The 24,080-nt window shown below is 46.9% G+C and overlaps 1 protein-coding gene across 35 annotated transcripts in view, besides 4 other annotated features; it reads left to right on the top strand.

Moving 5' to 3' along the window:
* CAMK2B (calcium/calmodulin dependent protein kinase II beta) overlaps positions 1–24,080 on the top strand; it is a 108,860-nt gene that overhangs the window by 10,805 nt on the left and 73,975 nt on the right. The window lies entirely within an intron of this gene.
* Positions 5,118–5,719: an enhancer, noted in NCBI's record as "H3K27ac-H3K4me1 hESC enhancer chr7:44349089-44349690 (GRCh37/hg19 assembly coordinates)". NCBI's record gives its function as "activates a minimal SCP1, AML or CMV promoter by ChIP-STARR-seq in primed H9 embryonic stem cells {active_cell/tissue: H9 hESC(primed)}" and the evidence as "EXISTENCE:reporter gene assay evidence [ECO:0000049][PMID:30033119]".
* Positions 5,720–6,323: an enhancer, noted in NCBI's record as "H3K27ac-H3K4me1 hESC enhancer chr7:44348485-44349088 (GRCh37/hg19 assembly coordinates)". NCBI's record gives its function as "activates a minimal SCP1, AML or CMV promoter by ChIP-STARR-seq in naive H9 embryonic stem cells {active_cell/tissue: H9 hESC(naive)}" and the evidence as "EXISTENCE:reporter gene assay evidence [ECO:0000049][PMID:30033119]".
* Positions 8,919–8,968: an enhancer, noted in NCBI's record as "active region_25938". NCBI's record gives its function as "activates an Ori minimal core promoter by ATAC-STARR-seq in GM12878 lymphoblastoid cells {active_cell/tissue: GM12878}" and the evidence as "EXISTENCE:reporter gene assay evidence [ECO:0000049][PMID:35858748]".
* Positions 20,489–20,989: an enhancer, noted in NCBI's record as "H3K4me1 hESC enhancer chr7:44333819-44334319 (GRCh37/hg19 assembly coordinates)". NCBI's record gives its function as "activates a minimal SCP1, AML or CMV promoter by ChIP-STARR-seq in naive H9 embryonic stem cells {active_cell/tissue: H9 hESC(naive)}" and the evidence as "EXISTENCE:reporter gene assay evidence [ECO:0000049][PMID:30033119]".

Below are 24,080 nucleotides of genomic sequence, written 5' to 3'. Positions count from 1 at the left end.
AAATCACAGAATTCTTAGAAGAAAACATAAGAGTAAATCTTTGCAACTTTGTATTAGGCAATGGTTTTTTAGATATGACACCACAAGCATAAACAACGAAAGAAAAATAGTTTTGCTGTTGGGCTTCATTAACAGTGAAAACTTTTGTATTCAAAGGACACCATTGAGAAAGTGGAATAGAATAGTCCATAGAATGGGAGAAAATATTTGCAAACCATCTGTCTGGTAAGGAATTTGTATTCAGAATACTTTAAGAACTTTTACTACCTAACAGTAAGAAGAAACAACCTAATTAAAAAATGGGCAAAGGACTTAGACATTTCTCTAAAATAGGTAACAAATAGCCCACAGCACATGAAAAGATTTTGGCATCATTATGGAAATGCAATTCAAAACCATCATGCGATGCCATTTCACTCTTACTAGGATGGCTACTGTCGAAAAGACAGATAATAGCAAGTGTTGGTGAGGGTGTGAAGTTGGAATGCTCATTCATTGCTGGTGAGGATGTAAAATGGCACAGCTACTATGAAAAATACTTTGGTGGGTCTTCAAAATGTTCTATTCTTAGGTATATGCCCAAGAGCTATGAAAACATATGTCCACACAAAAACTGGTTCATAGCAGCATTATCCATAATAGCCAAAAAGTAGAAACAGCCCAGATGTCCACCAGCTGATTGAATGCGTGAGAAAAATGTGTTATAGTCATACAGTGGAATATTATTCAGGCATAAAAAGGAATGAAATGCTAATAAGCACCGACACATGCTGAAATGTGGACGAACGTTCAAAACGTCATGCTCAGTGCAAGAAGCCAGTCGCAAAAGGCCATGTGTTGTTTAATCCCCTTTTTATGAAATGTCCAGAAAAGGCAAACCTGTAGGACAAAAACTGGAGCGAGAATGGATGGAAAGAGGATGGGCAGTGACTGCTAATGCGTAGAAGTTTGGTTCTGAAGTGATGAAAATGTTATAAACTTAGATTGTGGTAATGGATATACAACTCTCAATATATTTGTTGAGATATATTTATCTGAATTATATACTCTAAATGGGTGAATTGTTTGGTATATGAATTAAATCTCAATAAAGATGTCAAAGAAATAAAACCTACTCAGAAAATAAAAGCTCTCACATCTGGATCTCGACGTTCACATTGCTGAGAAGTGAGCTTAGAAATTAAAGTGACTGCCAATGCCTGGCTCAGGGTGGGCGGCCTCCCCTAATCTTCAGGACCCCAGCAGAAATGCGGCTTTGGCCAGGCCACCTTCTTTGAACCAGCCTCTGCTGCGAAGTGTCTTCGCAAACAAAAAACTGTGAGAAGAAGCCTTGTCACTGGAGCATCTGACTGGTGCCGGATGACAGCATCTCTAAACTTAGCCAGCCCTCTGGGCCTGTGCCTGATGTGAGCTCAGGCCAGAGGCACTGGGGAGGGCCAGGTTCCCACTGGCCCAGGAAGATCCAGGAACCTGTGAGCCCTCACATAAGCTGGGCCTGGGGCGGGTTCTGACCTGGAGTTCAGGGACACATGACACATTGGGTGACCCTTTCCAGAGACCAGCACAGGGGAAGATGCCGTCTGTACCACCTTACTTTCAGGGCTGTGTGACTGAGGGTTCCGCTGTGACTAGGAACCCAGTAGGTGCCCTGGCTTCCAAACTTTGCCCCCATAGCCTCACCCCACGTCTGGGCCTCACCTCACGTTCTGGGACTCTATTTTGCTTGTTTCCTGAGTGGCCCTTGGGACTGTCACATCAGAAACTCCAGGCCAGGCCTTTGTAGCAAGGCTGGGGCTGTAGCTTCCCATTACTGCAGTGTGAGGTGGGCCTCAGGGGTGCCCTCCGCCTGTGCCCTTTTTCCTTCCTCAGAGAAAGCCTGGGCCCCTAAAGTCCTTGTCAGGGCCTCATAGCAGCAGGACGACTTCCATTGCAGTGTGGGACTTCTGAGGCACAATGTGTGTGCCCTGAAAGGCAGCCCAAGGATCAGGGGAATGGGACGGAGCGAGGGAGTGCTGGCCTGTCACTCAGGACCCCAGCTAGGCAGCGGGAGGTGGGTGGAGGCTGGGCTGGGTGCTGGGATGCCAGGAGCCCATCAGGGGTGATGGGCCCAGTGGCTAGTGAGAAAGTGGTGGTCACAAGGCCGCTGCTGAGGAAGCGCACCAGCCCCGAGGGTCCTGCTGTCTCCCTGGAAATTAATGTGGCTGAGCCTGTACTCCTCCTTCGACAGAGCTGGGGACCCAGCTGTCCTGGGCCCACTGCCTACCACCACCCCATCCCCATCCTTTCATCATAACAGCCCCAGGGACTGACGGAGAACACCCCTCCCAGTCAAAAACCCTGAGAAAAGCAGTGATTTTGATGCTTTTCACAACTCCTCTGCATGCCTGAGGCCAGGTTCATTTTATTCTTACATTTTTATTCTCTGATTGACATTCACAAATTCTTATCTTGACCAATTGTCCACATGACATCCAACCCAGGACAGCCTGTCTTGCGGGAGGTGTTACTCTTTCTCTGTCTCCTCTGTCTCTCTGTTTCTCTCCCTCTCTTTTTCTCACTTCATGTTTCCACTTTTCCTCCCTCTTTTGCTTCCTGGTCTTTTCTAGGCTCTTCCTGGTGTGGTGACGATGGCCACTGGGCACCCCCCTCACTTTATGGGGCAGCCCCTCCCGGGAAGGACCTGGGGCTGTTTCTTTCTCCAGCCTCATCATCCTCCCCTCCTTCCCTCCCTCTTCCTCCCTCTCCTTTCTCCTTTCACTTAAAGGATCCTGTCTTTTGGGTGGCCCTCCTTCTCCTGCCCTCCCAGGTACTCGGTGGCTTGTCCCTAGCTCTGAAGGCCGTTCTGGGGCTTTGCAGCCCCTGAGAGTGTCACAGGCACTTCTGGGTCTCTGCCCCACCCTCCCACCACCACCCTCTCGCCACTGACACCTGGCTGAACTATTTCCCCCAGTGTGGGCTGAGGATGCTGGAATAGAGTTGTCATTTTAAATTCCACTCACCTCCACTTTCTGGCACCAAGGATGGAGGCTCTGGAGTGTGGATGGACCAGAGCACAGCCTCCCTGTGACTCCAGTGCTGTTTCTGTGGCCTCACTGCCCTGGGGTAAATGTGGGGCTCTTCCCAGCCTTGGTCACCCATGGGGGCATCACCAGCAGGAAGCACACACTGGGGCTCAGTTTCCCCCTCTGGGCTGTGGGGACAGAGATGTGGCGAGGAAAGTCTCCAGCAGGCGTGACTCCGTGGTGAGGATGGGCCTGTGCCTCATTTGGGCCCCGTTGTATGACCCTGGGCAGGAGAAGGGTCACCTCTTGGAGCGTCGTGAGGGTCAGTCCACGGTGCAGGGAGCCAGCCACGCAGTCACCCTTCCCTGCCCAGAGTGGGGGTAGGGCAGAGTCAGTCACACACCCCTTCCCCTTGTCCTGTCTGCAGGTGGGAGCAGAGACCCAGGCCTGAAGGCCTCTGGTTTCCCACTGTTGTCCCTGAGGCCCAGAGCTGGGGCGGTGGGGGTCCTGTGTGAAGGATGACACAGCTCAGAACCGCAGAGCCAGGCTGTGGTGCTCGCAGGGGCAGGACAGCCCCTCTGGGTACCCGGGGCTGGGGCTGGGAGAGCCCTGAGAGGGGTTGCAAGCACCCGGGGCCAGCCTCAGGGGCACATGCTGGGGCACAACAATCTTACCTGCCACCCCTCACAGCCACACATTGCTTTTAGTTTATGGTTTACTGTCTGGAATCCTTAGGGATTCTTTTCTCTGAGTTTTTCTTGTTTGTTACTAGAGGTTAAGAATTTGATTTGCCACATGGTGATAAAGGAGTTCTTCTTAAAACCAGATTTTGGCTGAGTGCGGTGGCTCACGCCTGTAATCCCAGCACTTTGGGAGGCCGAGATGGGCGGATCACTTGAAGTCAGGAGTTCGAGACCAGCCTGGCCAACATGGTGAAACCCCATGTCTACTAAAAATACAAAAATGTGCCAGGCGTGGTGGCATGTGCCTGTAATCCCAGCTACTCAGGAGGTTGAGGCAGGAGAATCGCTTGAACCAGGGGGTTGCAGAGGTTGCAGTGAGCCGAGATCACGCCATTGCACTCCAGCCTGGGCAATAGAATGAGACTGTCTCAAAAAAGTAAAAAAATAATAAAAATAAAAACCAGATTTTAAAGACAGCATTGCAAGTACCAGTTTCTGTCATTATTTCTTAATGATTCCTCAGAGATAACGGCTACATACCATACCAGGTATTTTATTAAGGTAAAACATACATAACAGAAAAATTTGCTGTCTTAACCGTTTTTAAGTGTACAGTTCAGTGGCAGTACGTGTATTTACATTGTTGTGCAACTGTTACCATCATCCATCTCCAGAACGTTTTTGTCTTCCCTAAGTGAAACTGTCCCCATTAAATACCGACTCCCCATTCCCTTCCCTCACCCTGGCACCCACCATTCTGCTGTCTGCCTCTATGAATTTGACAACTTTAGGGACCCCATATAAGTGGAATCAGACAGTGTTTGTCCTTGTTTCAATGAGCATAATGTCTTCAAGTTTCACCCATGTTGTAGCCTGTGTCAGCATTTCCTTCCTTTTTAAGGCTGAATAATATTCCATTGTGTGCATTTTGCTCATCTATTGACAGACGCAGGTTGCTCCTGCCTCTTGGCTGTTGTGAATAATGCTGCTATGAATGCGGGTGTACAAAGGACATTTTTAAAGGACATGATACATGGCCCCCTCCCACCGCGCATGACATAGCCACTGGGTTGTGTGGCCTTGGGCTGCCACGTAACTCTCTGGGTTTCAGCCTCCCCACTTACGAACCAGGAGGGTTGGGTCAAATGACTCTCTCCAGTCCCTTCCGGCCCCAGGAAGTGGTTCTGTGGAAGCCCCATTTCTTTCTTCTGAGACTTGCCCCAAAGCTCATCTCTCCCACATGCAGGTGACCCACAGTCTGATTACGTGGACATTTCTAAGCTTCCAAAATCCTTTTGCATTCCTTGAGAATAAAACTTTCGAAGGATGAAATCTGATTGATCTGAAACCAAACAAAAACCCGAGTACTTTAATTGATGCGCAGCTTGCAGGAAAAAAGCAGCAAGCGGGCACAAAGCGTATCCTAACTCCCAAAGCGCCCCCGCCCCCGCCCGGTCTCGGCCACCGTGCGGTTCCGCGCGTGGCTTGGTGAGCCTGGGGTCCCTGGCGGTGGCGCCCACGGCTCAGCCGGCGGAAAGGCTCTTCCCGCGTGTCCTTCGCGAGCCGCGCGGCCTCGGCCTGGTTCTGGCTGCTCAGGCGCGGTGACTACCCGCGGGCCGCCGCTCCAGGAGGGGCGTGACCGGCTCTTAAGCGCCGCCTTTGAAGGTCGCTGCAAGGCTGCGCGGACGGACGCCGAGTGCGGCCCCTACGGTGCTGGCGTCGGAATCTCTCTCGTCCCCAGTTTCTTCCGATGGGCTGGTGTCTCTGGCTTTTGGATCCACTCAGGTCCCACTGCTAGGGTGAGGGACTGACTGGTCCCCCGCGGGCGCTCCTGCCCGGGCGAGGAGGCTGTGTCCTTTCCACAGCTGGGACGCCGCGGGCGCAGAGTCCCGACCCCACCGCACTCCAGCCCACACCCGCACCCTGGGGTCAGAGGACTCCTCGGATGGGGACCGCTTCTGCCTGTCCTTCCCGAGGGCCCTCCCCATGCCCTGTGCTTAGGGGCGCGACGGAGCTGGGGACCTGATGTGGTCCAGGGCAGCCCCTGGACGTGCAGGAGGGAGATGGGGGCGCAGCAAGGGTGGGCCCCGGGGCTGGAGGCGCAGCCCAGCCCTCCTGCTCCTGCTGGCTCAGAGCTCGGGTACTCGGGCCGTCCTGAGAGCTCAGTGGCCTTAAACCCTCCGTCTGTGTCCCTTCTCCCGTCAGGCCAGGAGCGCAGATGGCCTGGGCCCCAGGTGGGTGGGCTGACCCCTGCCCCAGAGCCCGGCTTCAGCTGGGCAGCTGTGAACTGCCCCTTGTCCCAGCCCCCTGCAGGGAGGAGCACCAGCCTGGCTGTGGTGAGACCACTCTCTCCTCTCTGGGGCCTGGCCTGGTGCCCGCCCACTCCTCTGGGACAGTGCACAGCACAGTCGCAGTGGTTTGTGGAATCCGCGTTGGTGGTAGGAGCCTACTAGGCCAGGCGGGCAGTGCTGGGCAGGGCTCTGGGGTCCGTTTCAGCCTAGCCAGACCTGAGGACACAACCCCCCTGACAGGGCTAAGCCAAGCCAGGCTGGTCACCGCAGCTCAGTTCCCTCAGTGCCTTTGCTGGACCCTTCTGGGCCTTCCGGCTGGCAGGCAGTAAAGGGCAGGCTGGCCATGGACAGAGGCCCCGGGGAGGGATGGTCTGCTCAGCCCCTGGTCTCTTGTGAGGAGAGACGAGGGGCTCGCACACCGCCTGATGTGCAAGGCCTGCTGCTGGGCAAAGTGCCTTCTCTGTGCCTCATGGCCAGTCTTGGGGCTAGTGGTCTGCATTCCCTGAGTAGGACGGGGCCTTGCCCTCCGGACAAGGTGGGATATGGGGGGCCCGCACCTCCCTCTCTCTGTAATGTCACTCCTGCCTTCATCTTCCCAAAGTAGACACGTTGGTGGAACCTTGTCCTGCCCTCCGGGTGTCCCTGTGGATCCAGCTCAGAGAGGGCAGCAGTGTGGTTCTGAAGGGGATGACCAAGGAAGTGGGGGGATGCACAGGAGGAGGGCCAGCAGCTCCCAATCAGGGAAGGCAAGCTGTGAGGAGAGGAGGGGGACATGGGATGCGAGCCGGGGGCAGGGGGATGGGGACCCAGGAGCAGGACACCATGCTGGGCGCCACCACACACAGGCATGGGGCAGGCCCTGTCTCTCTTCCCCCAGCCACCTGGGCCTTCCTATCTGGCATCCTGGCTCCACCTACCATGGGCACTTCTTTCATCCCACAGCTCAGCTTGTCCCTGGAATTTCTCAGGTGAGAGTCAGGATGGCAGCTCCGGCAATTAGCCATCTGCACATCTGGATTTTAGGGGCAAAGAGGAGAAGAGACGTGCCTTGTGCTTAAAGTGTTCACATTCCTGTTAGGGAACAGAACAAGAACGTGCCTGCCCCATGCCTCCTGGGCACATCCCGTGTGGGTGAGGCCACAGCAGGCCCTCCCAGCATTTGGGCTACATGAGGTGAATGGGTGGTTTCCCTCATATGGAAAGAGCTCCTATAGGTCAAAAAGGCCTGGAATCCCAGCGCTTTGGGAGGCCCAGGTGGGAGGATCACTTAGGCTAGGAGATCAAGGCTGCAGTGAGCTGCAGTCACACCACTGCACTCCAGCCTGGGTGACAGAATGAGGCCCCCCAGTTAAAAAAAAATGGCCAAAACCCCAGTTGAAGTACGGATGACAGCAGCAACAGCTCACAGAAAAATAAATGAAAGCTTTCAGTGGGTAAAAACAGGAAAACAAATTCAACAAGGGTCAGCTCTCAGCGTTCCCCTCAGAGTTCCCACAGGCTCCTTCCAGGTGGCCCTAGGCTAATGGGCCACCTCCACCAGACTCTGGCTAAGCGCATCTCATGAGGCCAGGACCAAGGCCCTAGGACACAGGCACCGTAGCCTTGTCCCAGGGAGTAGGTTGGCCCCTGATGTGCGTGACAGCCTCTCCATGTGGGCAGGGGAGGAATTCCAAAGATGCAGTGAGCCCTGGCAGACCATTCCCAGTGCCAGGGGCCAGATGGCGCCAATGACACAGGAGGCCCCAGGCTGAGCCTCCTGAAACCCTCCTCTTCACACACCCTCCCCTGCTCACACCCTCCTCCCCCTGATCACACCCTCCTCCTTCTGCTTACCCCCTCTTCTCCCTGCTCACACCCTCCTCCCCCTGCTGACAACTTCCTCCCCCTGCTGACAACTTCCTCCCCCTTCTCACACCCTCCTCCGCCTGCTCACACCCTCTTCCCTCTGCTCACACCCTCCTCCCCTTGCTCACACCCTCTTCCCTCTGCTCACACCCTCCTCCCCTTGCTCATACCCTCCTCCTGTTCACACCCTCCTCTCTCTGCTCACACCCTCCTCCCTCTGCTCACACCCTCCTCCCTCTGCTCACACCCTCCTCCCCCTGCTCACACCCTCCTCCTGCTCACACCCTCCATCCCCTGCTCAGACCCTCCTCCCCCTGCTCAGACCCTCCTCCCCCTGCTCACCGCCTCCTCTCCCTGCTCACACCCTCTTCTTCCTGCTCACACCCTCCTCCTCCTGCTCACACCCTCCTCCCCTTTCTCACATCCTCCTCCCCCTACTCACCCCCTTCTCTTCCTGCTCACACCCTCTTCCCCCTGCTCACACCGTCTTCCTGCTCACACCCTCCTCCTCCTGCTCACACCTTCCTTCCCCTGCTCACACCCTCCTCATTCTACTCACACTCTCCTACCCCTGCCCTTACCCTCCTCCCCTGCCCACACCCTCCTCCCCTGCTCGCATCCTCCTCCCCCTGCCCACACCCTCCTCCTCCTGCCCACACCCTCCTCCTGCTCACTGGTTTCAGCATGGCCAGATTGAGTGACAGTTCTCCAGCAACCCCTGTGCATTATCTGCATAATCCACCACATGCTTCAAGGCTGGGTCCAGGGCTAAGAGACAGGCTGGACCTCTCCACCCTAGAGGCTAGGCCTGACCTGCAGGCCTCCCCTAGTCTGTTGGAAGAGCATGGGCACAGTGGGCTACAGGTGTTCCTGGGTGGTCCTCCCTCCTGTCTTCATCTCTGTATTTATTTTGCTCTTTGCTTAATGCAGACCTCCCCACTGGGGTCATGGCCATTGTTCTGGGGCACAGCTCCTGTGGGGTTGCTAAAGGAAGACATTTGTTGCTGAAGATTTCTGGAGGATATGGTTCACCTGAGAGAACGGAGAAGTGAAAGAGAAAGATGGATGCTGATACAGAATGAGCAGAAGTCCCAGACCCTCCCTGGAAGGGGGAACTTCCCACCGAGGCTGCACAGGACAGGCTGGATTTACGGGGATCCCAGCCCAGCCCACCGTGGCTTTCAGAACCCCCAGTCAGACTGGCTCCCCTGTGAGCCCTCTCCTCAGGAAGAGTGCTCACCCCCTCTCCTCTCTCACTCCCATGGGGAGCATGTAATTTCAGCCCCTAGGTGGTTTCTGGCCTGTCAGGTTCTCCTCCCTCCTGACCCTCAACCCCCCTCCCTCTGGGTATTTGGGGTATGTAGAGGGAGGCCACATCATCCCCCCTTGCAGTCCCCTCTCAAGTGGTGCCTGGTCAATGTTTAACAGAGGGGTGGGGTCCCTGGTGGGTGGTGTTTGCCCATTTCTGTGGTATGAAGATGCCCACCGTGGCCAATGTCAAGCTAACAACATGACATCAGCTGGCTCGCAAGAATCCAGAAAATGTGAAAGTCTGTTCTCTAGCTGGAAGAGCTGTCTCTGACACCCACTGCCTCTGCCTTGGCCCAGCCAGCGTGACCGAGTGATGGAGTGAGCCAAGACGGCACCCAAGGCCTCTCGCCCCTGTCTTGGTCCTGCTGCCAACTCCCGGCCCTGCTTCTTCCCACTCTCAGGGCTCTACTTGGCTCAAGTCCTGTGATTCATTTTCCTCTTGCTCCCACCTCCCCCACCTCACAGGGGTGCCCCGTCCATCTCCCCAGGAGACTGTTTTTGAGCCAGTGCAGGGCACCTCAGGGGACCTGTGCAGGGCGGCAAGAGGTTGATTGGGGGGCTTGGGGATTTTTTGTTTCATTTTGTTTTGTTTTTGAGACTGGGGCTTGCTCTGCCACCCAGTCTGGGGTGCAGAGGTGCATCATAACTCACTGTAACCTTGAACTCCTGGGCTCAAGCAATCCTCCCACCTTGGCCTCCCAAAGTGCTGGGATTATAGGCATGAGCCACTGTGCCTGGCTAGGGGAGAGGGGTCTGGTTTGATCCCACCTCCACATCCATGCTGCCATGGTCTCAGCAGAGCATTCAGTGCCTGTCCCTTCCTGTGACATGGGGAGCATAGCCCCATCTTTCACTGTGGCCTGAGAGCCCTGAAGGGAACCCTTATACACTGAGAGGGCCATGCGTAGGTGGGTATTACAGTCAGGATGTCTCCCGGGGTGATGACAGCTCCAGGGGAAGACTTTAGAGTCCCTGAAACACCTTTTCCTAATGTTGTTCAGGGCCTCAGGTCACAGTGAAGTTTTAAATTTCACTATATGGCAAATATATAGGCATTTTCCTTGTGATACATGCTTTTCTGCCTATGGTTTTAAAAAGTCCTTCTCTATCCTGGTGTTTTAAAGATACAATTTTTTTCTCTTTACAATGAAAAAGAAATTAATGGGCTTCATTTTTAGAGCAGTTTTGTCTGTATGGAAAAATTGGATTGAAAGTATAAAGTTCCCATATTCCCCTTCACCATTCCCCACCCCTGTTGTTAACATCTGGCATTAGTTTGGCATATTTGTTACAATGATGGACCAATATTAATATATTATTAACTAAAGCCCATAGCTTACATTAGGGTTTGCTCTTGCTGTTGTAGATTATATGAGCTTGGACAAATGTAGAATGACATGTATCTGTCATTACAGTGTCACACAGAGTAGTTTCACCTGCCCCAGAATTTCTCTGTGCTCCACCTATTTGTCTCTCCCTCCACCCAACCCCTGCCAGTCACTGGTCTTTTGACTCTCTTCTGCCTTTTCCAGCATGTCATACCATTGGACTCACACAGTATGTGGCCTTCTCAGACTGGCTTCTTTTATTCAGCAGTGGCCACTTAAGTTTCCTCCTTAAGTGGGAGGAGGAACCTGTCTTTGTGTAGCTTGATAGTTCATTTCTTTTTAGCTGAATAATATTCCATTGTCTGGATGTACCACAGTTTGTTCATTTGCTTGCTGAAGGACATCTTGGTTCCTTCCAAGTTTTCACAGTCATGAATAAAGGTGCAATAAACATCCGTTTGCGGGTATTTTGTGGACATAAGTTTTCAATGTATTTGGGAGATACCAAGAAGTGTGATTGCTGGAGTGTAAGGTAAAGAATATTTTTAGTTTTGCAAGAAACTACCATACTCTCTTCCAAAGCAGGTGTACCATTTTGCATTCCTACCAACAATGAATGAGAATTCCTGTTGCTCCACATTCTTACCATCATTTGGTGGTGTCAGAATTCTAGATTTTGGCCATTCTAATAGGTGTATAGTGATAGCTCTTTTTTGTCTTATTTGCAATTCCCTAATGACTTACGATGTCGAGCATATTTTCATATGCTTATTTTCCATCCATATATCTTCTTCGGTGAGGTATCTGTTCAGATCTTTTGCCCATTTTTAAACTGGTTGTTTCTATATTGTTGAATTTTAAGGGTTCATTGTATATTTTGAAAACCAGTCTTATCAGATAGGTGTTTTGTAGATATTTTCTCCAAGTCTGTGGTTGTTTCCCTTTTAATTCTCATAAGTGTCTTCCACAGAACAGAACTTTTTACTTTTAATTAAGTCCAATTCATCAATTTTTTCTTTCATGAATTGTGCTTTTGGCACTGTATCTAAGAAATCATCACCAAACCCAAAGTCATCCAGATTTTCTATGTTATTTTTTAGAAGTTTTAAAGTTTTGCATTTTACATTTAGGTCTATGACCCATTTTAAGTTAATCATTATGAAAGGTGTAAGATCTGTGTCTAGATTCATTTTTTTCATCTGAATATCCAGTTGTTCTGGCACCATTGTTGAAAAGGCTATCCTTTCTCTATCTGGTATTCACAAACCTCAGACTTTGCTCTTCTCCTTCAATATTGTGTTGGTTATTGTATTATGTATCTTTTGACTCTCCATATAAACTTTAGAATCAGTTTGTTGATATACACAAAATAACTTGCCGGTATTTGATTGTGAGTGCATTGAATGTGTAAATTAATTTGGGAAAAACTGACATTGGACAATATTGCATCTTCCTATTAATGAACATGGGATGCCTCTGCATTTATTTAGTTCTTCTTTGATATTTTTTCATCAGAGTTTTGTAAATGTCCTCATATAGATCTTGTACATATTTTGTTAGATTTATACCTAAGTATTTCACTTTGGGGGATGAAATGTAAATGGTATTGTGTTTTAAAATTCCAATTCCAATCATTCATTGCTGATATGTAAGAAAACAATTGACTTTTATATATTAACCTGGTATCCTGCAACCTTGCTATAATCATTTATTAGTTCCAGGAATTTTTTTGTTGATTCTTTGGGGTTTTCTATATAGGCATATCATTTATGAACAAAGACAGTTTTATTTCTTCCTTTCCAATAAGTGTATCTTTTATTTCCTTTTCTTGCCTTATTATGTTAGCTAGGACTTCCAGTAAGATGTCGAATAGCAGTGGTGAAAGGGAACATACTTGCTTTGTTCCTGATCTTAGTGGAAAGTATCCAGTTTCTCACCATGAAGTATGGTGTAAACTGTAGGTCTTTTCTAGATTTTTTAAAAATCAAATTTAGGAAGCTCCACTGTATTCATAGTTTGCTGAGAGTTTTTAATCATGAAACAGTGTTGGATTTTTGTCAGATTCTTTTTTTGCATGTATTGATATAGTTGTGTGATTTTTCCTCTTTACCTTGTTGACGCATTGGATTATAATAATTAATTTTTGAATATTGAACAAGACTTGCATACCTGGGATAAATCCCGCATGATCATGATATATAATTCTTTTTATACATTGTTGGATTCAATTTGGTAATATTTTGTTGAGAATTTTTGCATCTGTGTTCATGTGAGATTTTGGTCTGTATATTTCTTTTCTTTAAATAATGTCCTTGTCTGGTTTTAGTATTAGGGTAATGCTAGCCTCATAGAATGAGTTAGGAAGTATTCTTGCTGCTTCTATTTTCTAAAAGAGATTTTAGAGAATTGATATGATTTCTTCTTTACATGTTTGGTAGAATTCACCAATGAACCAATCTGGGCCTGGTGCTTTCTGTTTTGGAAAATTATTATTCATTCAATTTCTTTTAGAGATACAGTCCTGTTTATATTACATTATCTATATTTCATTGTGTGAGTTTTAGAGGATTGTGTCTTTCAAGGAGTTGGTTCATATTATCTAGGCTATCAAATTTATGGCCATAGAGTTTTTCATAGTATTTCTTTATTAGTCTTTTAATATCCGTGGGATCTGTATTGGTGGCCCCACTTTTATTTCTGGTATTAGTAATTTGCCTCTTTTCTCTTTTTTCCTTAGTTAACCTGATTAGCAGTTTTCCAATTTTATTGATCTTCTCAAAGAACTAGCTGTTGGCTTTGTTGATTTTCTGTATCAGTTTCTTGTTTGCACAATTCATTGATTTACACTCTAGTTTTTATTCTTTTTTTCTGCTTACTTTGGATTTAATTTGCTTTTCTTTTTCTAGTTTCTTAAGGTGGAAGCTTAAATTACTGATTTTAGATTTCTATTTTCTTCTTTTCTTTTTTTTTTCTGAGATGGAGTCTTGCTCTGTCACCAGGCTGGAGTGCAGTGGCGCGATCTCGGCTTACTGCAACCTCCGACTTCCTGGTTCAAGTGATTCTCCTGCCTCAGTCTCCCAAGTAGCTGAGATTACAGGCATGCGCCACCATGCCCGGCTAGATTTTGTATTTTTGGTAGAGACAGGGTTTCACCATGTTGGCCAGGCTGGTCTCAAACTCCTGACCTCAGGTGATCCGCTCACCTCGGCCTCCCAAAGTGCTGGTATTACAGGCGTGAGCCACTGTGCCCGGCCTCTTCTTTTCAAAATGTAGGCACTTGATGCTATAAATTTTCCTCTAAAGATTACTTTTGGCCAGGTGCAATGGCTGACACCTGTAATCCCAGTGCTTTGGGAGGACAGGGTGGGAGAACCACTTGAGGACAGGAGTTCAAGACTGACCTGGGAAACATAGCAAGATCCTGTTTCTAAAAACAAACAAACAAACAAAAAACATCACAGGGCATGGTGGTGCATGCCTGTAGTCTTTTCTACTCAAGAGGCTGAGGCGGGAGGATCATTTGAGCCTAGGAGTTCAAGGCTGCGGTGGGCTATGATTGTGTCACTGCACTCCAGCCTGCATGACAGAGTGAGACCTTGTCCCTAAAAAATAAATAAATAATAAAGACTGCCTTTGCTGCATTCCATAAATTTTGATAAGTTGTATTTTCATTTAGTTCAAAATATTTTAAAATTTCCCTTGACATTTTTTCTTTTGTCTGTGTGTCATTTAGAAGTGTGGTGTTTCCATGTATTTTGGGCTTTTCCAGCTATCTTTCTGTTATTGATTTCTAATTTAATTCCATTGCAGTCTGAGAGCGTACTTTATATGATTACTGTATTTTAAATGTATCAGGGTGTTTTTATGGCCCAAAATGTGGTCTGTCTTGGTGATTGTTCCATGTGAGCTTGAGAAGAAAATGTATTCTGCCGTTGTTGGATGAAGTAGTCTATAGATGTCTGTTAGAGCCAGTTGATTGATGAAGCTGTTGAGTTCAATCATGTCCTTACTGATTTTCTGCCTGCTGCATCTGTCCATTTCTGGTAGAGTTGTGTTGAAGTCACCAACAATGATAGTGGAGTCATCTTTTTATCCTTACAGTTCCATCAGTTTTTGCTTCACATATTTTGATGCTCTGTGTTAGGTATGTACATGTTTAGGACTGCATGTCATCTTAGAAAACTGACCCTTTTATTATTATGTAATGCTCTTCTTTATTCCTGATAATTTCCCTGGTTGTAAAATCTGTTTTGTTTTTTTTTTTCTGATATCAATATAGTTACTCCTGGGTGGGTGCAGTGGCTCCCACATGTAATCACAGCACTTCAGGAGGCCCAGGTGGGAGAATCACTTGAGCCTAGGAGTTCAAGACCAGCTTGGGCACCATAGCAACACCGTGTCTCTACTATATATAGCTGGGCATGGTGGCTTACACCTGTAATTCCAGCACCTTAGGAGGCTGAAGTGGGAGGAATGCTTGAATCTAGGAGTTTGAGACCAGCCTAGGGAGCATACCAAGACCCCATCTCTACAAAAAATTAAAAAAATTAGCCAGCCATGGTGGCACATGCCTGTAGTCCCATCTACTTGGGAGACTGAGCCTGGAATGTAGAGGCTGCAGTGAGCCATGATTGTGCTACTGCATTCCAGCCTGGGTGACAGAGTGAGTCCCTGTCTGAACAACTACATACACACACACACACACACACACACACACACACACACACAGACACATACACATATACATACATATATACATATAGTTACTCCAGCTTTATTTTAATTATTGTTAGCATGGTACATCTTTCTCCATCCATTTACTTTTTTAAATTATGGTAAAACAAAATTATATGTAACATATAATTTGCCATTAAAGAATCCATTCTTTATCCATGAAAGAAATAATCATGGCTAACATTTATTGAGCATTTTACTATGCACTAGACTATGCATTGTTTTTTGACTTTTCCAAAAGCTCTAAGAGATACTATTATCATCTCCATTTACAGATGAGGAGTTTTCTCAGGATCACACAATTAATAAATAGTAGAGTCCAGAAATGGACAAAGAATGGTCAATTGCAAATTATTGATCCTAAAATGATTGTTTTCTCTAATTAATGTAGACAGTTCACTTATATGTATTTTGATTTGGCTAATCAAAATTATTCTTTTTATTTATTTTTAATTTTTAAATTGTGTCATATATACATAAAAATTTTACTATTTTAACCATTTCTAAGGATACAATTCAGTAACATTATGTATATTCACATTGTTGTGCTACCATCACCACCATCATTGTCCGAAATTTTTTCATCTTCCCCAACTGAAACTCTGTACCCACTAAAAACTGACTTCCCCTTCTCTCCTTATTCCAGCAACCTCTGTTCTACTTTCTCTCTATGAATTTGTCTATTCTAGGTATCCCATATAAGGGGAATCATGTGGTATTTGTGTCTTTTGTGACTGGCTTATTTCACTTAGCGTAATGTCCTCAAGATATGTCTATGTTGTAGACATGATTTCCTTCCTTTTCAAGGCTGAATAATATTCATTGTATATATAGACCACACTTTATTTATCCATTCTTCTGTCAATGGCCATTTGAGTTGCTTCTACTTTTGACTATTGTGAATAATGCTGCTATGAATATTGTATACAAGTATCTGTTTGAGTCCCTGCTTTACATTTTTTTTGGATCCACCTTGGAGTGGAATTGCTGGATCATATGGTAATTCTATGTTTAACTTTCTGAGGAGCTGCCAAACTGTTTTTCACAGTGGCTGCAACATTTTACATTCCCACCAGCAATGCACAAGGGTTCCAAGTCCTCTACACCCTCACCAACACTTGTTATTTTCAGGCTTTTTTCAATTAAAAAAAATTTATAATAGTCATCTTAATGGATGTGAAGTGGTATCTCATTATGGTTTTGATTTGATTTCTCTCATGGCTAGTGATGTTGAACATATTTTCAACATCTCTTGTTTTCCATTTGCATATCTTCTTTGGAGAAATGTCTATTCAAGTTCTTTGCTCATTTTTTGAATTGGCTTGTTTGTTTCTTTGTTATTGACGTTTAGTAGTTCTCCTATATTTATCCGTCATCAGATAGGTGAATTGCAAATATTTTATCCAATTCTGTGGGTTGTCTTTTCATTCTCTTGATAGTGTCCTTTGATGCACAAAAATTTTGTATTTTGGTAAGCCCAATTAATTTTTTCTTTTGTTGCCTGCACTTTTGGTGTCATATCCAAGAAATCATTGCCAAATCCAATGTTATGAAGATTTCCACCTATGTTTTCTTCTAAGTGTTTTGTAATTTTAGCCTTAAATTTAGGTCTTTGATTCATTTTGAGTTATTGTTTGTATGTTGTGTAAGATAAGGATCCAACTTCATTGTTTTGCATGTGGGTATCCCAGTTTCCCCAGCACCACTTGTTGAAAAGACTGTCCTTTCTTCATTGAATAACCCTTGACACGTTTGTTGAAAATCAATATATGGGAGAATTTATTTCTGGGCACTCTATTTTATTCCATTAGTCTCTGTGTCTGTCCTTATGCCGGTGTCAGACCATTTTGATTATTGTTTTGTATTGGGTTTTTTGTTTTGTTTTGTTTTTGAGATGGAGTCTCACTCTGTCACCCCGGCTGGAATGCAGTGGCATGATCTCAGCTCACTGCAACCTCCACCTTCCGGGTTCAAGTGATTCTCCTGCCTCAGCCTCCTGAGTAGCTGGGATTACAGGTGTGCACCACCAAGCCTGGCTAATTTTTGTATTTTTAATAGAGACAGGGTTTGGCCATGTTGGCCAGGCTGGTCTTGAACTCCTGACCTCAAGTGACCCACCCTCCATGGCCTCCCAAAGTGCTGGGATTACAGACGTGAGGCACTGCATCCGGCCAGTTTTATATTAAATTTTGAAATCAGGAAATGTGAGTCCCCCAACTTTGTTTTTCTTTTTCAAGATTATTTTGACCATTTTTTTGTCCCTGGAGATTCCATATCAATTTTAAGATGGTTTTTTTTTCCCTGCAAAAAAGCCATTGGAATTTTGATAGGGATTTCACTTGAATCTGTAGATAACTTTGAGTAGTATCCATGCCTTTACTCTTCACTTATTTGTGTCTTCATGTTTAAATAGGTTTCTTGTAGATGACATATAGTTTGGTCTTGTTTTTTGATCCAATAAGATAATCTCTGTCTTTTAATTTGTGTATATAGAGCCATTGACATTTAAAGTGATTATTGATATAGTTGGATTGATAGCTACCATATTTGTTTCTGTTTTTTATTTTTCCCTATTTTCTTTGTTTCTTTTTCTGTCTTCCACTCTTTTTCTGCTTTCTGTGGTTTAATTGAGCATTTTATATAATTCCATTTTCTCTCCTTTCTTGCTTCTCTTAGCATTCCTCCTCCTCTTCCACTTCTTCTTCTTTTCCCTCTCTTTCTCTTTCTCTTCTGTGGTTGTCCTAGAGTTTGCCATATACCTATATACATTTACAACTAACCCAAGCCCACTCTCAAATAACACTACACCATTTCGCATGTAGTGAAGTAATGCAAATACCTTATAGGTTATAGCAGAGTATTTCTAATTCCTCTCTCCTATCCCTGATAATGTTGCTTTCTTTCACTTATCCATAAGTGATAATTACCCAAAACACTGTTAGTATCATTATTTTGAACAAATTGTTATCTATTAGATCAATGAATAATTAGAAAAAAGATTTCATATTACCTTCACTTATTTCTTCTCTAAGTCTCTTCCTTTCTTTATGTAGATCCAAGTTTCTGAACTATGTCATTTTCCTTCTTTCTGAATAATTTCTTTTAACATTTCTTATAAGGCAGGTATGCTGGTGACCAATTGCCTCAATTTTTGTTTGAGAACATCTTTGTTTCTTATTTTTGATGGATAATTTCTCTGGATACAGAATTCTAGGTTGGTGGTTCATTTCTTCCAACACTTTAGATATTTTACTCCACTCTCCTCTTGTGAGCTTGAGAAGTCTGATGTAATGCTTTTTTGCCCCTTGACAGGTGAAGTGTTTTTTGCTTCTGGGTTATTTCAAGATTTTCTCTTTGATTTTCTGCAGTTTGAATGTGATACGACCCGATATACACTTTGGGGTATTTCTTCTGCTTGGAATTCTCTGAGCATCCTGGATTTGTGGTTTGGTGCCTGGCTTCAATTTTGGAAAGACTCAGTCAACATTACTTCAAATATTTCTTCTGCTTTTCCCCTTTCTTCTCCTTCTGATATTTCCATTACATGTGTTTATATCTTTTGTAATTTTTCTATAGTTCTTGGATTATTTTGTTTTGTCTTTTTCATTCTTTTTTGTCTTTGCATTTTAGTTTTAGAAGTTCCTATTGATATGTTTTCAAACTCACTGGTTGGTTTTTTAGCTGTGTCTAGTCTGCATCAAAGACATTCTTTATTTCTGTTACAGCATTTTTGATTTCTAGCATTGTAACTTCCATCTCTTTACTTACATCACCCGCCTGTTCTTGTATGTTGTCCACTTCTCCCATTAGAGCCTTTAGCATGGGAATTACAGTTGTTTTAAATTTCCAGTTTGATAGTTCCCAAAAGCCATGCCATATCTGAGTCTGGTTCTGGTGCATGCTCTGTATCTTCAGACTATTTTTTTCTGCCTTTTTATATGCCTTGTAGTTTTTTTATTGAAAGCTGGACATGATGTACCGGGTAAAAGCGATGTGGTGAACTGGCCTTCAGTAATGTGACAGCAGGATGTTGAGGGAGAGGAAGCATTCTGTACTCCTATAATTAGGCCTCAGTATTTTAGCGAGCCTGTGCCTGCCCCTGTGCTGTGACCTTCACAAGTGCTTCTCAGTCTCTCTCTTCCATCCGCTTATGTACTACATACAGGATGGCTGGAGGGGGCTGGAGTTGGGTATTTTCCTTCCCCAAGGTAGGTTTGGCTCTGATAAAGCCCCAGCAGGTTGGGCTGTAGTAAGATAATTTCTCCTGAGGGCAGGGTTTTAAGAAGAACAGAACGCCGTGGCATATTTCAAAATGAATATTTTTCTCCTCCCCCTGCCAGAAGCCCTGGGGAGTTTTCCTCCAGTCTTCGCTGTGAGAATCTGGTAGGGCTCCTGGAGGTAGAACTTACAAAAGTGTGGGTGCACGCTGCTAAGGCTAGGCACCCTGGAATTCTTAATTCTCAGACTTGTCCACACTGAGCATCTGGCAATTCGGCAATTACAGTTTAGGTTTCCCTACCCCAGCACTGGTTCCATGGAGGTTTCTGCTCTGGTAAGTTGTGATTCTGCACACTTGATTTTAACCAAAGGCTGAGAAGTGATGGCAAGTTGTAATTCTCTCTATCTGCCAATTTTGGAGGCAGAAGTTTTCCTGCAACCTCAGTTCTCTGATGGATCTAAGAAGAGTTGTTGATTTTCAGTTTGTTTAGCTTTTTGTCTGTAAGGACAGGAGTGATGACTTCCAAGCTTCTCACATGCTAGACCAATGTTTTAAGCTTTGCTTTTTACATTTTGTAGGTTTTTCTTTTCACATTTTAGGTATTTTTAAAAAATCTACCCAGAAGTTATTTTTCAGTGTGATTTGAGGTAGGCACCTGTTATTCTAACACATCAACCCTGTGTAATATGTATCATCAAATCCATTTTGCAGACCAGCGCTAAGTTATAAGTCCAGAATTCACCCCAGGTCTTCCTGATTCAAACCTCCCATCTTTCTAATCTCTACTTGGCTTTTCTGAGTCCAGAATTGTGGGCCTTGATTGTCTTCCCTTGACTTTCCACATCCCAGGTGGGACAGAAAGTGCAGTGCCTGCTGGGAAGGATACACCATCAGCATCTGCCAATCCCCATGTGTATCTGACTCAGCTGTTTGCTGGGACCCAGCTGACCTTTTGTTGGGAGGGGTGGGTGCACTGCTTTAGTGTCCTGGGAGGGTTCTGTTTGATCTTAGAGAGGCCAGCACCCCCATAGAATTGCCATACAAACATACACCAGCCTATATATGGCCAAGCCATGGCCAGGGCACCAAAGTGGTGAAGGGTGCTGGCCTGGGTGCACTTTGGGGAGATGAGGAGCAGAGGGCCAGGAGATGGGACTTGTACAAATCAGGAGGGACTGATCCAGGGCCAGGAGGTAGCCTGTTGACTCATAGATCTTTCTAAATCACAAATAGAGATCTCATAATAAGCATCTGCAGTCTCCTTCTGGTGCTCAGTGCAGACATTGCCAATCAATCACAGGGCACATGCAGCCAAGCCCCAGCACTCCCACCATCCCTGGGCAAGCACTGCCCAGTGCCTTCTGCATGCCTGTTCTGGGCTGGTCGCTGGGACAGAGAGGGAGCAATCAGTGCCTGGGGACCAACTGTCTGTTCCGTAGCCCTTTTGCTACCTGTGTGTGCCACCTCTGAGGCCACCCATCAGCAGCATGCATCCCAGGATGCCTGTGTCCTTGTCCTGCCTCCTGTTGCACCCCTTCCGTTGGTCCTGTGATACACAGACAGGGGCATCTGATGTGGTCCCTTGGGGTTGGGGACTTTGGCGAGGGCAGGGAGGACCCAAGAAGAGAGGCAGAGACTGGGGTTTTCCTTCCTTGGAGGGGGGTCAGCCAGGTGTGTGGGATGCTGGGCGGGAAGAGGGAGAAGTAGCTTTCCTGGGGATGTGTGGTGCCTTGGGAGCCAGTCGGACCCCACCCGACCTCAGATTGCTGCCCACTGCCTTGCTGCCGTTGGCATTCTTGCCTTGAGCTCTCCGGCATGACCCAGAGGGTCCCGGCTGTAGCAGTTCCTGGCAGTGGGTCTGGGCAGTGTGAGATGTGAGGTCCCTGAGGCTGAAATTGAACACGGTGTCACAGAAACATGTCAAAAATCACACTGTTCTCCTATCCTATACAGCTGGGTTCCTCAACCCTCAGGCCACGGACCAGTACTATTAGGAACTGGGCTACACAGCAGGAGACGAGCCATGGGCAAGCCAGCATTACAGCCTGAGCTCCGCCTCCTGTCAGATCAGCGGAGGTGTCAGATTCTCATAGGAGCACGAACCCTATTGTGAACTGTGCAAGCGAGGGATCTAGGTTGCGCGCTCCTTAAGATAATCTAACTAATGCCTGATAATCTTAGGTGAAACAGTTTCATTCTGTTCAAACTATTTTCCCCTAGCCCTTGCCCCAGTCTGTGGAAAAATTGCCTTCCATAAAACCAGTCCCTGGTGCCAAAAAGGCTGGGGACCACTGCTATACAGGATTGTCAACATATGGGAGGAAAACCTGTACAAACTCGATCTGGCTGTCTAGAAGTGACGACGACCACGTTAACCCATGTGAAAATGTGGAAGCGCTCCCATGCATCACCATTCACCTGTGAACCTCACCAGGGCATATGGGGGAATTTGTCATGAGCTTATTTGGTTAAGAAATGGCCTGTGCTCTGCTCATAGCATTGTCAAAAATGTGAAGAAAATGGTATCTCTGAATATACTTTCCTGGCTTGACCAGAGGATGAGCCGGCGCTCAGTATCTGGGAGGAAATTTAGCAGAACGGTGACTGGGGACCTGGCAGGTTTGAGACTTTGATGCACTGAAGCGAGTGGCTTCCTGCACAGGTGGGTGGGAAGGGCGCTGCCCCTGGGAGAGGGGCTCTGATGGGAGGGGCACGTGGTCCCCAGGAGACCAAAGGGGGCAGCCACACCACTCTGCTGAGAGGGGCAGAAAGCAGAGGGTGCTCTGCTGGGTTTTCTCGTTCTGAGATGCACCCACAAAGACCCCAGGGCAGTGGCTGCTGCTGTGGGCTGGAGCCGTCAAGTTTGGGTGTATCCTTGGATGAGCTTGTGGACATCAGGTGGATGGACAGGAGAGGTTTCTGCCTGGCTCTTGCCAAGTGTTTCTTTGTTAATGTGTTCATTTCATCAGAAGCATCTCTTGTGGCTTCAGTGGATCACACAGGGTTTCAGAAAGGGGCCAGTGTTGAGTCCTAAGAATAGAAGTCCCTTCTCCTTACACTCCTGGCCCTCCAGAGCCTTTTTGAATAAAGATTTCTATGGTCAAATAGGTTAAGAAAAGGATGCACCTCATACTCCCTTCTTGGAGGTTCACAGTACAGATGATCCCATTCAAGGCCCTGAGAAGTCCTGCAGTTAAAGAAAGGAAGGAAGGAAACACTGTCTAACCTACTGGTTCCCAAACTTCTTTTCTCACAGAACCCCTTTTGCACCTATCATCTGTTAACGTCCTATGAAGCTTATGTTTGAGGAGTGTGATTTGGGAAGTGTTTGCCTGCTGCAGCTGCACACAGTGGCAGATTCCACCAGGCAGACCTGGACTCAGCATACATCCTGGGCTGAACTGCATCCCCCAGAATTCATGTATGTGGAAGCCCAGTCCTCAAAATGTGACTGTATTTGGAAACAGGATAGTAGCAGATGTAATTAGTCAAGTTAGGATGAGGTCATATTGGAGATATGACTGTCGTTCTTGTAAAACGGGTGTTCTTGGACACAGAGACACAAGCAGAGAGAATGCCATGTAACTGTGAAGGCAGAGATTGGGGTGATGCATCTAGAAGCCAACTAGCACCAAGGATTGCAGGCAGCACCGGAATCCAGGAGAGAGGTATGGAACAGATTCTCCCTCCCAGCCCTAGGAAGGAACCAGCCCTAATCTCTGCCTTCTGGCCACCAGAACTGTAAGAAAATAAATATCTGTTGTTTAAACCGCTTGGTTGGTGGTACTTTGTTTCAGCAGCCCGAGCAGGCTCATAAAGCATGGATAAGTTAAGACTTTAGCTCTTGTTGGGCTCCGAAGCTCAGGTTAGGGAGCCCTTGGGCCAAAGCAGGAAAGAGCTTTGGGAACTCTCTCTAGGGTTGTATGAGCCACCCAGATTCCAAGTTTGGAAGAATGGTTTTCCATTGCTGCTGACGTGAATTGTGCTTTTGGAAGTGAACGCAATGAAATGACTGAAACAGTCATGGCAGGCCATTTTCGAGAAGGGAAGTTGGAGACCTCCTAAACGCTTGCTAATGGAGGAAGCACCCAGCTATCAGTGGTGCGTCAACTTGAGGGAATGTTCTTTCCTATAAGTGAGTATATGATCTCAGTCAAAATGTGGGGTTCGTGTGTGAAGTGATGTTAAATACAAAAGTCAAACACAAAACAGGAACTCCCGTGCTGATAAGGCACATGCTTGGATGCCGGCCCAGGCTGTGGCCGAGTTTGGGTGCTCACGAGGAGAAGTGAGTGTGTCCAGCTGCTTGTCTCCAGTAGGGTCACCTCAGACCTAGTTTTTAGAACCCAGGATGCCTGGGCCCTGGGCAGGAGTGGACGACACAGCCCTGGGAGCTCGGCTTGCACCTACCTGGGGGACGTCTTGCCAGTGGGGCGGTAGGATGGCCACCCGCCTCCCTGTGGGATGTTACTCTGGGCCTGGGGACTCCAGCTCCTGCCTGGCGGGGCACCTGCTTGTCCGAAACTCCTCAGGAGCCCAAACACTCTCCCCCCTTGGCGGAACCCCAACACTCTCCCCACTTGGCGGAACCCCAGGGCCAGAGAGGCTGGGGAGGAGTAAATACCAAGCAGGCATCCACAGGACAGTATCCATGAGCAAAGAAGTAT

This window comes from Homo sapiens, chromosome 7, assembly GCF_000001405.40.
Source record: "Homo sapiens chromosome 7, GRCh38.p14 Primary Assembly".
NCBI lineage: Eukaryota > Metazoa > Chordata > Mammalia > Primates > Hominidae > Homo > Homo sapiens.
Note: the sequence above shows the minus strand (reverse complement) of the source record. Positions and strands in the feature narration are given on the sequence as shown.